The sequence below is a fragment of the Homo sapiens genome, chromosome 17 (genome assembly GCF_000001405.40).
Source record: "Homo sapiens chromosome 17, GRCh38.p14 Primary Assembly".
Taxonomy (NCBI): Eukaryota; Metazoa; Chordata; class Mammalia; order Primates; family Hominidae; genus Homo; species Homo sapiens.
Genome location: NC_000017.11, coordinates 48,429,395 through 48,443,318, shown reverse-complemented (window position 1 = coordinate 48,443,318; position 13,924 = coordinate 48,429,395). Strand labels below are relative to the sequence as shown.

Here is a 13,924-nt window from a genome sequence, read left to right as displayed (position 1 = left end):
AGTATTAGGTTGGTGCAAAAGTAATTGCTGTTTTTGCCATTACTTTTAATAATTTTAATAATTACAGATGGGATGTGAGTTTTGAATAGCAGGTGCTAAATGCTACAGGAATGTAGGAGAGGGAAATATAACCCAGTCTGGGGAGCCAAGGTTGGTTAACCAGACAAAATGAAGTTGAGACTTGAAGCATGAGTAGGAGTTAGCTGGGTGAAGGGGAAGGGGAAGAGTGTTGTAGACAGAAGGAACAGCACATGTGAGCAAACGGAAGTGGGAGTGGGTATGACTCATTGAAAAACTGCAGGAAGTCTGTTACTGAAGATGATGGAGAGTAAAGGGTCCATGCAGGCAGCAAGGCTAGAAAGATAAGCAGGAGGTTATGGTGGTGGCGATGGTAGACGCTTGTTAGCCATTGTGAGGAAGTGAAATATTGGGAAGCTACTAAAATTTTAATTAGGAAAGAGGCATGGGCAGATTTTTAAAAATGACATCACTGGTTTTAGGGTGGAAAATGGGTTGGTGGGGCGTAAAACCAGAGGGTTGCAAGGTAGAAGATGATGGTGGCTTGGACCAGGATGGTGGCAACAGACTAGAGAGAAACAGATTGTTTGAAACATATTTTCCAGCTAGACTTGGCAGAGGAAGAAAGAGGGAAGAAAGATGACCCCCCAGGGTTCCAGATTGGGCAACTGGATTATCCATGGTGCCATTTACTTACCTAGAGAAGTTGGAAGGAGAAGGTGACTTGGCCAAGAAGGGGACAAGTGGTTGTGGAGTCTGAGTCCACCCTGCACATTTCACATCCAAAAATGTAACACCAAGTATAGCAGAGTCCCAGGCAGGATGGAACTAAGGCTTCAGTGAGTGGAGTGAGCATAATCATATCCCTGATTTTCAAGGGCTCAGAATTGGAAACTTTTCTATAATGATTCAGGCATACATAGGCAGGTCTGAAGAACAAGGGGTATGATGGATAGATTGCTTTTTCTGTGCAGCAAACCTACCCATTTCTTCCAGAAATAACCAACTGTGTTGTCTAAGAATTTCTTTTCTCCCCTATTCCACACAGTTTCTGTAGGAGCTGTTATGTAATTGACACCACCTCACACCCCACCACACCCCATGGCCACAACGCACTCAGGTTGGGCCTACCAACTACTGGAGTATTAACAACTTGGACCGACATGAGAATTACATAAATGGTTGCCTCCTCCTCCTCCTTAAAACACTAAAAGGAACTTCAGTGCATGTTCCTGGAGTCCATGGTAATCCCTGGGAGCTGGACAAACCCTTGGTGCTTGCCACACTGATGATGTTAAGCTTGAGGCCAGGGAAGCCTGCTACTTACAAGATATGCGTTAAATGCTGTAAAGGGATCCTGGAAAAGGTTGGGAAATCTCCACCTTTCGAGATCATGGAGTTCTGGCATGTTAGACCTAGAAGGAACCTTATTTCCTCATTTATAGTTGGGAAACTGAGTCCTTTAATAAAAAGGAAAGACAATTAAATTACCTGTCCTAGATGGTTTAGTTACTCAGCAACCAGAAGACATAATGTCAGACCAGATGTTCTCTTGGGGTTCCTATAAACTCCACTGTTCTTTGATCTTGTGATTTTGTGTTGGACACCAGCCAATGAAACCCCTGAGCAATCAGGTTTATACTCTCCTCAATGGCCTTAGAGAAAGAGTATGGCCTGGGTGGAGACAGTTGTGTGGAAGCCCACAGTTCTGTCACGTAACTATTTTCTTCTTTAGAATCTTCTCTCTTTTGGCATCAGCTGACACAGGAAGTGGTAAAGCTATTATCTGTAGATTCAACCAAATCACCATTTCCTGATTCTAATGTTCATCAACCACTTTTGAATCCTCCCCCCACTTCCCCTCTATTTTAGTTTGAGGTTCAAAAGCACCCATGAGGTAAATTAATACTCAGCCAAGCAGAGTGAGGCCCTGATGCTCTTGTGGTTCTGCCATTAATTTGCTGTAACCCAGGGACATCCAGGCTAGTCCCTCAGGTTTCTCTCTGTAGGTAAAAGGGTTTCTAAAGTTCCTTCCAGCTCTGAAATTCTGAGATTCCTTGTTGAATCTCATTCTGCAAGGGGAATCTTATGGACCAGCTCCCTCTGGGAAGAAAAATGTTTCATGCAACCCTATGAATCTCATCTTAGTCCAAATCTTTTTTTGTTTGTTTGTTTGGTTTTTGTTTTTGTTTTTTAGAACACTATACTGGAAAAGTGAAAGAATCAGAGAAGCAGGATAACTGGCAACTGAAGTCGGCCAGCATCTCATGTGAATTAGAAATGGAATCGGGGTGCTAGCATCCAAGTGACCAAAGAAACTCTTTGCTGAGGTTGCATGGAGTTTAAGGAAAGAGGCTGTGGGGTCCTCCTTTGATGCAGCTACATTTCCCTCTGAGCCTCTGTCTGTTTCCTGTCAGTTTAGTGCAAAACTCTAGTCTACTACTCTGGGCTGGCTTAGAAAAAATGCATCCTGGTTTTGTTCCAATTCAGGATAGAGGTGGGGAAGTCCTGCTGAGCCTCTCCCACAGTGAGCCTTCCCCTCACCACTGGCAGCACTGACACCAGTGACTAGCATTCATTTCTTGGGGTATGAGTCCACTGAGGGTGGGAGGATCCTCACATTAACCATTATTGGGTACCATCTTAAATTGCGGACTTTGGAAGCCCTTGGCCTTCCCTTTCCCAGGCATTTTCTCCTTGGAGTGAAGATGTTGAAAGTTGGAGGTTAAATGACTTGCCCTAGGTCACAAGGTTGGTGGCACAGCAGGGATGAAAACCTTGGCCAATCTTCTGAGTCCTTGGTCAGACCCTTACGCCACAGCTGCTCTTTGTATAAGGGACAGTCTCACCTCCCAAGGACACTGCGCAAGGATGCCAGATATTGATATGACTGTTGTCCCAGTCCTCAGTGACCTTCTACATCCTGCAGCCTGCTCAGACAGTAGAGGAAGCAGCTCTGGGGCAGAGGGAACTGCCATATGTAGAGCTGCCCTGGTGGAGATAAACAGGTTGTCTGTCAACGTATGAAGCCTATGTAGGGCCAGGACCACAGAGCTTCCATTGCAGGAGAAATTAAACCTGTCTTGCACACCAATCCCAGTGCTCTGATTACATTTACAGAGGTCATGGCCTGCATTCTGTCACCATGGAAACCTCTCAGGCTGCCAGGGTGTTTTCTGTGCATGTGGTTGATATTTAAAGGCAAAGTCGCAGGCCGCATTGCTGAACTATCAGCTGCCAGGGGCAATTGCTCTCCTCCACCAGCCCGCGTCCTGGTGCTTCGTCCCAGAGATAAGAGGAAGGGGAAGAGATGAAGAAAAGGGCCCACCTGTCTCTAACAGGAAGGTCTTTTTAGTAGAGCCAGGTTTGTAGGGAGTCAGGCTATAGGGTGCAGGTGCTGGGATAGCAGATGAAGGGCAGTAAAAAAGGGCCCCAACATTGTCAGAATATAAGCATTTTCTCGCAAGAACACAGGCCCTCATGTTTAGTGCATCTCATTTTTTCTCTGATTCCTCCTCCAACTCATGAGCACATGTCATAGTGGCCATATGGAGCTGGGGAAGCCCCCTTTGCCTGAATGCCCTTGGTGGTTTCTATTTTGCACATCTGGTAGCTGCATGAATTGTGCTGATAACAATATAGCTTATGAAGGATCCCTACTTATTCTAAAGACCCCATAGCACTGTCCTGGAAAAAGCTATCATGGGAGTGACTTATCAGGAGTCCCAGGTGTTGGAAGAGGTAAATAACACCAGATTCAACAGAGTAAGAAAAGAACACAAGTGCTGACTTGGCTTGTGACCATCAATTTTTTCTTTCGTCTCAAGACAATTATTTCCACACCATTGAATGAAGTGTAGATAACACGGGCACCTTAATAGGCTGAGAGCAGAGGCTGTTTAGAGGAGATTTCAAGCACTGTGAGCATAAAATGAACATGAATATTCTGCAATATGCATCTTACAATTTGTCATTAAGTGGATGGCCTCAGTGATGTGATGCAACAGGCTTTGATTGGAATATTGAGCTCTGAAAAAGGAAATTCTGCATCAATAGTCTCATGATGCAAAATATCACATATTACTCAATAAGAAGTGTCATTGTGTTGAAAGTGCAGATGCTAAAAAGTACAGCAGCAGATAGGAACAGCTTGATCCACAAGGCACTTTTCTTTAGGAATTTACAGCCATTCCCTGAAGCTACTCAATTGTCCTTGGAGGTAGAACATGGTATAGCCTGAAATTACAATTCAGGAAATGAAGTGGATCTGTTTGATTTAGTTTCTAATCCTTCAAACTATGAAGACTTCTTTATGATGTTTTCTATTTCTCCACTTATTTATCTTTTCATTCAACTTCTCATTCACTCTCTTTTCCCTTTTTCTTTCTCACTAGCCTCATCTCTAGGCCATCAACCCTCCCACACACTCCCCAAGTCGTGTCCGTCTGCCACAACCCCAGCCCTTCTGTAGAGCTTAGCCCTGCTGGCAGCTCTCCAGACTAAAGGGACTACAGACTCCTAGGATATGATCTTCTTTCTGATTGGTTCTTTGCAGGGTCTTTATTTATAGTGAAAACTTTGTTTTTGCTGCAATAAGTGAAAAGAGGTGTTAATATCTCACGCCTTCCAGATCAGTGTTTCCCCCATGTGGTTTGGAGAACACTAGAAGTATTCTAGAATAGATAGGGCAGGGAGGAAATCTCTGGAGGTGGGTGGGGAGAATCTGATAACCTTGATTTGTTAGAGCCTGGTGCCAAGGAAGCCAAGGCCACACTCTATTCATCTCTTTAAAGGCAGATTAGCTTGATAAAGAGGAAAACTCTCATCCTTGGCAACCAATGATACCTATATCTTGGCCACTCCTCAAATATATCTTTAATGAGTAAGAAAGATCAAATGAGAGATTATGGATAATTTGTATATATATTTATTGAGCATCTGACAGGTGCTAGTTTTTGCAGGGAATGCAGGGACAGTAATCACTAAACTTTACAAAGCACCTACCATGCTGCAGGCAGGTGTAAGCACTACATATATTAGCTCTTTGGATCTTCACAACAACCTTGAGAATACAGTTACTATTGCCATTTTACAGCGGAGGAAATTGAGGCATATGGAAGATAAGTAACTTGTCCAAGGTCACAGCAAGCGGTGGCAGATTTGAGCACAGGGTTGTCTGACTTTAGGACCACTACATTCTATACTCTATCACCTCTTTGATGGGGTCAGAGCCATGCTTTGGGATATATACTCTGAAGCTTATATGAGGGGTGGCATGGGATGGTGGGGAAATTGGATGTGGGAGGCCGGGTTAGAAGCCATTTCAACATATCACTTCCCAACAAAGATATTGAGAACCAAACCCAAAGAGGTGACATTAAGGACGCAAGGAGGGTAAGGATTCAAAAGCCACTGCGAGGAGGTAAGACTAGTGGCCTTAGTGGCTGTTTAGAATGAGTGAGGAAGGGTCGAAGATGACTTCTATATTTTGAGCTTGAATTACCAGGAAAACAGCAATGCCTTTATAACATTACCTATTTTTTTTTTTTTTTTTTTTTTGAGACAGAGTCTTGCTCTGTCTCCCAGGCTGGAGTGCAGTGACACGATCTCAGCTCACTGCAACTTCTGCCTCCTGGGTTCTAGTGATTCTTGTGACTCAGCCTCCTGAGTAGCTGGGACTAAAAGCGTGTGCCACCATTTCCGGCTAATTTTTTTATTTTTGTAGAGATGGGATTTCGCTGTGTTGGCCAGGCTGGTCTCAAACTCCTGGCCTCAAACAATCCACCTGCCTTGGCCTCCCAAAGTGTTGGGATTACAGGCGTGAGTCACCACACCCGGCCTAACTGTTGCAATTTATGGAGCATATACTATATACATACATCATCCTACTTAACCTTCATAATAACCCTGTAATGTAGGGATTATGATCTCCAATTTACCGATGAGGAATCTGAGGCTCATGGAGCTTTGCCCAGAGTCTTAGAACAGGTAGGTGGCAGAGCCAGAAACGGGACCCAGGTCTTTCTGATTTGTAAGCCCATGCCCTGTCCACTGAGCTTTGTTGCTATTGCAATAATTAAGGAGAGAGGAAATAACAATTTGGTGGAACTGCTCAGATATCCAGGTGGGAATGTGGGGCAGAGGTACAAATCAGCAAAGCAATCTGTACAAAGGGGAAAGTAGTAGTAGTGTGAGAATAAAACCACTAGAGACTCAGAGAACAAAGAGAGAAATGAAAGAAGAGGGATGGGAGAAAGGCAAGTAGAAACTCTGGCGAATACCTATGACTAGAAGGTGAAATGAAGAGAACCAAAGAAGGAGGCAGGGAAGTCACAGACAGTTAAGATGGACAGAAAGAGGATCAGATAGGGCAATGCCAAGCAAGCTATGTGCTTACAGCAAGAGCAGGTGGTCAAGACCATCCAATGATCCAAAAGGAAGGCTGGTGAAGACAAAGGAGAGTGGAGAAGGAGGTCAGTGATGCTCTTGGGAGAGATATCCCTTTGGTGGTGTGAAGACAGGCAGGCAAGGTTAAGAGACGGAGGAGAAAGGACATGAGATTTGATGGAGGAAGTTGATGGGGGCAGGGAAGGAGAGGAAAGGATGAGAGTTGGAGGAGGTAGAGGGGTGAAAGGAAGATCTTGGTTTTTAAGGATAGAGAAGACCAAGGATGTTAGCAGGCAGAAGGAAATATTGAAGATGAAAAAGAATGTGAGACTGAAGATCTCAAAGGTGGTGTAAGAGAGTGTGATCACAAATTCTAGTGGAGGGATGAGAGGAGGCAAGACAAGAGTGAAACTGAAAAGCAATGCAACATGAACTGACAGTGCCATTTTGTGTATGAAAGATAGTGTGGTTTACACAGGAAGAAAATGTTGTGGGAATGGGAGTCCAGGGATATTTAAGAATAGAGGCCGGGTACAGTTGTTGGCCAGACACGGTGGCTCACGCCTGTAATCCCAGCACTTTGGGAGGCCGAGGTGGACAGATCACCTGAGGTAAGGAGTTTGAGACCAGCCTGGCCAACGTGGTGAAACCCTGTCTGTACTAAAAATACAAAAATTAGCCTGGCATGGTGGCATGTGCCTATAATCCCAGCTACTAGAGAAGTTGAGGCAGGAGAATCACTTGAACCCAGGAGGTGGAGGTTGCAGTGAGCCAAGATCCCACCGTTGCACTCCAGCCTGGGCAACAAGAGTGAAACTCCATCTCAAAAAAAAAAAGAATAGACATTTAGAAAGAAAAAAAATGAAATGGACACTGACACAATTCTGAAGGCAAGGAAAGAACATATCTTGAGGACCAACGATATCCACTAGGGCAAAGGTATTTTTACTCACTTTCTTACATCGAAATAATCAGCTATTGCTGTTTTTATCTCTGACTCTAGTGTTTCTGTCTGTATTTGAGAATGCTGGTGGTTCTTGTTAGAATATCCACTCATCTTAGTGTCAGTATCCTCCAAAGCACATGAGCACATGTGCAGTGCAGGCGAGAGCTTTCTACCAGCTTCTAAATAACTGCCCCTTCTCTCACCTTGAATCCCCCTGCTCCAACTCTGAATTCTAAGACCTGTAGTAAAGTGAGGAAGAAGAAAGGATAAAAAGTAAGGAAGGGGTTTGGGAACTTAAATTTTTTTACCTTTGAAATAACAGATGAAAAGAAACCAAAGAAACCCAGGTCGACTTTAGAAAATTGCTGTCCTTCTACCTTCAATCTCCTTAATCCCCCAGAAGAAAAGACTATTTCTTCCAGCTAGTTTCCAAAGTTATGTCTGAAAATATATAGTCTATAGTCTATAAAATTAGTCTTAGCCTCATCTGCTCTCATGCAGATTAGCTACACAGACTGTTTCCACATCTCACTCAGAGTGCACAGCTCATCTGGCTACAGCTGATACATTCTGAGTCCCCCCATCTCCACTTCAGATCCCCAAGAGAACCAATCAAAAACAGAGAATGTCAGAGTCAGCAACCTCTTTGGTCTTCAGGTCCTCTGCTGGGCTCAGCAGTGCCCAACGGGGATATCTAATGTGGTCTAAAGGATAGGTAAAGAAGATTAAAAAAAAAAAAGGATTGGGAACAATAGAGAAAAAATAATAAGAGGAGTGATAGATAAGATAAAGAAGAAAGAAAGAAATGTTACTATTTATTTATTTATTTCAGACAGGGTCTCAGCTTTGTTGCCGAGGCTGGAGTGCAGTGGCACGGCAACCTCGAACTCCTGGGCTCAAACAATCCTCCTGCCTAAGCCTCAAGAGTAGCTGGGACTACAGGCTTATGCCACCATGCCCAGCTAATTTTTGAAATTTTTGAATTTTTTGTAGAGACAGGGGTCTCACTATGTTGCCGAGGCTGGTCTCCAACTCCCTGCCTCAAGTGATCCCCCTGCCTCAAGTGATCCCCCTGCCTCGGCCTCCCAAAGTGCTGGGAATGAAACATTACTATTTAGATGGAGGAGGGCCAACAGTGATGACTTCGTAGAGTGGCTCAGTGATCCCTAGGCTGTAACTATCTATCTTAGGTATTTTTCAGTTCTACAAGAGCTTTGTACCTGATTCTAATGCACAGCTCCTGGTAAGCTGGGGGACCCTGGGTATAGTGCTGGGTCTGTTCCTTATCTTGAATTTGCTCCCTTTGAAGATTCTTTTGAGTTTTTATATAGTCCCTCATACTGTTCCAAGCCTGTACCTCACTGAGAACCTGCTTATGGAATTGTTTCCTGATGTGATATGAGAAGCTGCTTATTTTGTTGTATGTATTAAGGCAGAGAATCTAGGAGTGTGAGCTGGAAGGGGAGACCATTGGAAGTGTATTTGTGTGAGTGTGTGTATAACAGGACCCTCCTAAGTTGAAGAGTTAGCTAATTGGTAAGAACAAGGCTTCTGGCAAGCCGTGGAAACTTCATTTTTAGGCCACTGAAGTAACGTGCCCAAGTTAGCATCTTATGTCCATCTCCTCTGCCTTCAAGGTGGCATGATGCTTGGTTTCTGGAGCCTTGCAAAACATACAGTGAGCCTGGTTCTTGGCACCGACAGGATGCATCATCTCTCCTTCCACATCTCTTAATGAAGTGTGCAGCTCTTGGCCTCATTAGGCCCCAGCATTGTCAATAAAAGAGTCAATAAACCCGGTTGATGGGGTTGGGACCGAGAGGCTGAGAGGCAGTGGCTGCACATCCATAGGGCAGACGTCAGCTCCGCCACATGTCATGACCCAGCATTCAGGGATCAATAACCAGCTCAGAATAAAGCCTCAGAGCCTGCCCTCTGCAGTTTCCTCTCCAGACCCATTTCAGCCAGGGCAGAGCGGTGCCAGCCAGCTCCTGCTTTGCTTGCAGTTGTGTTCCCACTGCATGCCATTCTGGGTGCCAGATGCTTTTGTTTCTTCCTGATTGGTCCCTCTGGACATCCCATAGATGCCTATTTAGCGAGTGCCCACCTGGCATGAGAACATGTAGACAGCATTCCCAAGAAGCTCAGAGGCCAATATGGGCCCTATTTTCTGTGTCTTCTGTCTGCTGACAGTGCGTGAAGGGTCCCGGTGGACAAGGCGGTGTGTTTTCTGCATGTTGTGCTGCTGGACTCCATTCCTGGCTGTTCTACATCTCTTTAGATCCCCTTATCTTATCTAATTACAAGGAATTCCAGATTAATTTCATGGCCTCTGCTCCAAAGGACCTCTTATCTGTGAGGGCCTTGTATTTTAACCTTGTCATTCTTTTGTTGTTTGTCTTTAAGGGGCAGGCAGCTAAGAAGAGGATGCTAAGATCTTGCTGGAATTGGGTCTGGGGGGGACGGGAAGAAAAGGGAGGCAGACAGACCTGAGATTTGTGTATTCTGTTCTGTCCTCCTGCCTGTGTGCAGAGACAGCTGGCTGCTTTCTTCCATGACAGCCACATAGTACCCAGCCACACAGAACAGGACCCAGGCAGGGACTCAGCTACTGCCAACCTCTCCAGATTGCTTTGATATTTCTGACAGAACAGTAAAGGACTCGTGACTATCACGTTTTGCCTTGCCTCTCTTCACCTCCTCTAAGACTCCTCCATGTGGTTTCCATGGCTACCCCCAATCAGATTTGGCTTCCTGCGAAATTGGATTTCAAAAAAGGACAAGGCTTCAAAGGAATTTGTCCATTTAACAGAATGTCATTAGGAGTGGGGCTGACTGCTGAAACAGGGTCCTCAGATGATTAAGGAAGGGCTGCGTTCATGTGTGGAGGCAGATTTCTGTCTGCAATGAGGAACCTTGATGCAACATGACAATACCGTATTGGAATCTGCCAGTCACTCACTACATACTACCCGACTGTGCACCTCCCTCTACCCCTGTCTCTCTAAAACCCAGAGATTCTTGTAAGGAAGGATGCATATAGAATACGTACACTGTGAGTTTTTGGTGTAAGTAAGCTATGACAGGCAGTGAAGCCTGCAAAGAAGTGCAATTACCTGGGTTTACTGCTCTTTATCAAACAATTCATTAGCTGGTAGCTTATATTAGTATGTGACACCATATCCTTGAAGAAGAGGGGGAGGTTATCAAATTTTCTTCTGTTGCCAAGAAGGAAAGCAAGGCAAAGTTTAGGTTGACATATGGGGAGACTTTGCTGCCCTTGCTGTATTTTTTGTGTAACAGTTTAGATTTACCAAAAAAAAATTGAGATGATAGCACAGACAGTTCCCATGTATCTTTCCTTGCTTTTTAGTATGCCTCATAAGTACTTCAAAATGATTCTAGAGCAGCTACAATTTTATAGGTGAAGTGGTGAAGTTGGTAAAAATGCCATGGGGGTACCTGGTACTTGATCCCAAGCCTGAAAGGGGTAGTCTGCCCATTGCTATACTTTCTTTCTTTCTTTCTTTCTTTTTTTTGAGATGGAGTCTTGCCCTGTCACCCAGGCTAGAGTGCAATGGCCTGATCTCGGCTCACTGCAACCTCCGCCCCCCGGGTTCATGTGATTCTCCTGCCTCAGCCACCCGAGTAGCTGGGATTACAGGCGTGCACCACCATGCCCAGCTAATTTTTGTATTATTAGTAGAGACGGGGTTTCACTATATTGGTCAGGCTGACCTCAAACTCCTGACCTCGTGATCCGCCTGCCTTGGCCTCCCAAAGTGCTGGGATTATAGGCGTGAGCCACTGTGCCCAGCCACCCATTACTATACTTTCTCAGGGCAGGAAGGAGGATGAGCAGGAGCCAGATACCCCAGAGAGGCTCATGCCAGCCTCTGTCCCCTCACCCCAATTTACTGCAGCTTGTAGGTGGGTCATGTGACACTGAAACCAATGCACCACTGCTTTTCAGATGGCAGGATGCACTGTACTCCTTAAAGGATCACACCCTCATCTTTGAGGCTGTATCTCTGGATGGGAAACAGTACAAGGAGGCAGGCACTTTTATCACACTCATCCTTCTCGATGGTTTCTTCTTACTGCTCTTGCCCCGTCTGCTAGATTGAGTCCATCATTATTCCCCTTATGGCTGTTGTAAAAACCATTTTACCCACTTCCCCCTGTGTCTTTTCCCACCACTCCTAATCTTTTCTACATATTCTGTAGGTTGAGTCTGAGAATAGAAATGCCATTTTTTACAAAGAAGGAAAAAGGCAGAGGTGGAGATGTGTGAGGCCACATACCACCCCGGAGCTCTGGTTAGGTCATTCCCAATCTCAAAAATTGTCAATGGCTCCCCAGTGCCCTCTCAATTAAGTTCAACATTCCTATTCTGACTTTCAAGTCCCTTCACAGTAGAGCTGCAGTTTATCTTGACAACCATAGTCTTTCTACAACATCCAGTAAAAGAGGGCTACTAACTATTCCTCAAGCTGGTGAGGGCTCTTCCATCTTTCTTTACTCTGGTCCTTCCACCTGGAAAGTCCTCTGCCCCTTCAAAGTCTGGTGTGTTTTTCAGAGCCCATCTCAAACACCACATGCACCTTTAAACACTCACATGCACACTGGCACTTCTTTTTATTTTCTTTCTTTTTTAAGAGACAGGGTCTTGCTCTGTTGCCCAGGCTGGGGTACACTGGGGTGATCATAGTTGGCTGTAACCTCAGATTCCTGGGCTCAAGTGATCCTCCTGCTTCAGCCTCCCAAAGTGCTGTGATTACAGGTGTGAGCCACAATGCCTGGCCTCTTCCCTCCTTTTCTGGTATTCAGCTCCCTTCTTTTATCAACCATAGCACTTTATACTTTTTTCATGGCAGTTGACCTATTGTACTTAAAAAACCTCTTTATTTTGAGAATTATAGATTCACAGAGAGTTTCAGAAATAATAGAGGAACTCTGTCTACCTTTACCCAGTTTCCCCCAAGGGTAACATCTGGCACTATTACAGTACCATGTCACAACCAGGACACTGACACCAACTGTCCCTTGAATGAGACCGTGTGATTTTGTCCTTCACTTTCCTCCCTTCCGCAGCTCCTGGAGGGAAAGGGCTCTGTTCTCCTCTCCCTCAGCTTTCTCCCTGTGTTACCCCTTCCTTTCCTCAGGGCCTTTCCATCCTGAGGGAGAACAGCACAGTTTGGTTTCCTGTGTCCCTTGCTGCCACGCTGCCGCGATTCTCCCAAATGTTGGTGTCCTTATATTGCTTATTGGGAATTAATCATTTCCTTTCAACATTGTGGCTTCCCAAAGAGCGAAGTTTTGCCCTCTTTTCTGGGGATGGAGATGTGAACTGGACCGGCAATTGAGGGGTGCTATGCTTGACGGGGATCTCTTCCTTGGATTCTGCCTCCCTGCACCCTACTTCAGGCACCCCGTGGTCTTTCAAATCTGCCACCGTGAGGTCAACTGTTCGGTGCTTAGGATGGAGTGTCCAAAGCCGTGGGTCCTTTGAGCCTTGTGAAGTCTTTTGTTTTGGTGGGTGCTGGAGGGGCGCACCTTTGGCCTCGCACGGTGCGGTGCTTCCGGCACCCCCAATCCTTCTACCGTGGGGCTCCGGCGTGAGCGCCACGTGCACCCACGCCCCGCGCCCCGTTCCGGTCCCCGCCTGCCGCCCGCGCCACTTCCTGACGCGCCCGGGGACCCACGGCCCCGCCCCGCGGCCGGGCTGGGCGGGCGGCGACCGCGGCTGAGGTACAGGTGCCTCGCGGTGCAGCCGGGTCGCCTTCCAGCCCGTCCGCCTCCCGACCAGGGCCCGCGCCCCGTCCCGCCTCTCTCCCGCCCAGCCAAATGCAGGCCGCCGCCCTCCCTGAGGAGATCCGTTGGCTCCTGGAAGGTAACGCCCTGGCGCAGGCCCCCTCCAGTGCTGAGCCGAAGGCCGAAAGGGGACACCAGGCCTCCCACGGCCAGGCTTTCTTTACGGCTTCGTCACTCACCTCCTTCTAGAACCTTAAGGCTTCTAGAGCCCTCAACTCCCTAGAGCCAGCTTTCCATCCTCTCACCTCAGGGCCCCTTTCACTCCCTGGAGTCCCACATCTTCTTTTGCCTTGAGGCACCTCCACGCCTCCACTTCACCTCCCCGGCTTCTAAAGTCCTCAGGCCAGGTTCTTGGTCCCCCATGCCACCTTGCCTGGTCTCCGACCTGTCCCTTTCTCCAAAGGACTGCCCTACATCTGTAGGGTTTCCCGTCCCCCTCCTTCCCCAGCCACGACTTCCTCACCTCTCACAGAAGACCCCAAACCTTCCTGCTTAGAGGTCCCCGAGGCTCTCCAGGGGGCTGCGAGGGGCTCATGGGATCCCCATGGGCCAAGGCCAGGTGGTTGACGTGAGTTTTTGTCAGTGCGAAAACCCCAGCCCTCCCTTTATCACCCTGCAGACGTCTAGGGGTCTCACCCACCCCAAGGCAGGCTCATTCTCAGTATGGGATTTCCTCCTTTTCTAGAAGTGCCCCCATTGTGGTGTGTTCACCTTCCAACTCCCATTGTGGTGTGTTCACCTTCCAACTACAGTGTCTAA

At 46.6% G+C, this 13,924-nt stretch overlaps 1 protein-coding gene across 9 annotated transcripts in view, besides 1 other annotated feature; it reads left to right on the top strand.

The window, feature by feature from the left end:
• Positions 1 to 13,924, top strand: part of SKAP1 (src kinase associated phosphoprotein 1) — a 311,620-nt gene that overhangs the window by 1,743 nt on the left and 295,953 nt on the right. For 7 of the 9 annotated variants that reach the window (XM_005257755.5, NM_001075099.2, NM_003726.4 and 4 more), the window contains exon 1: positions 13,105 to 13,244. The exons of 1 other annotated variant lie outside the window; for it this stretch is intronic. In XM_005257755.5, coding sequence (XP_005257812.1) covers positions 13,199 to 13,244 — 46 coding nt within the window. In that variant the 5' untranslated portion in view covers positions 13,105 to 13,198. Of the gene's footprint in view, positions 1 to 13,104; positions 13,245 to 13,386; positions 13,734 to 13,924 lie in introns of those variants that run through there. One more of the 9 variants, XM_047436974.1, reaches the window with a different exon arrangement.
• Positions 12,932 to 13,191: a silencer, noted in NCBI's record as "silent region_8651". NCBI's record gives its function as "represses an Ori minimal core promoter by ATAC-STARR-seq in GM12878 lymphoblastoid cells {active_cell/tissue: GM12878}" and the evidence as "EXISTENCE:reporter gene assay evidence [ECO:0000049][PMID:35858748]".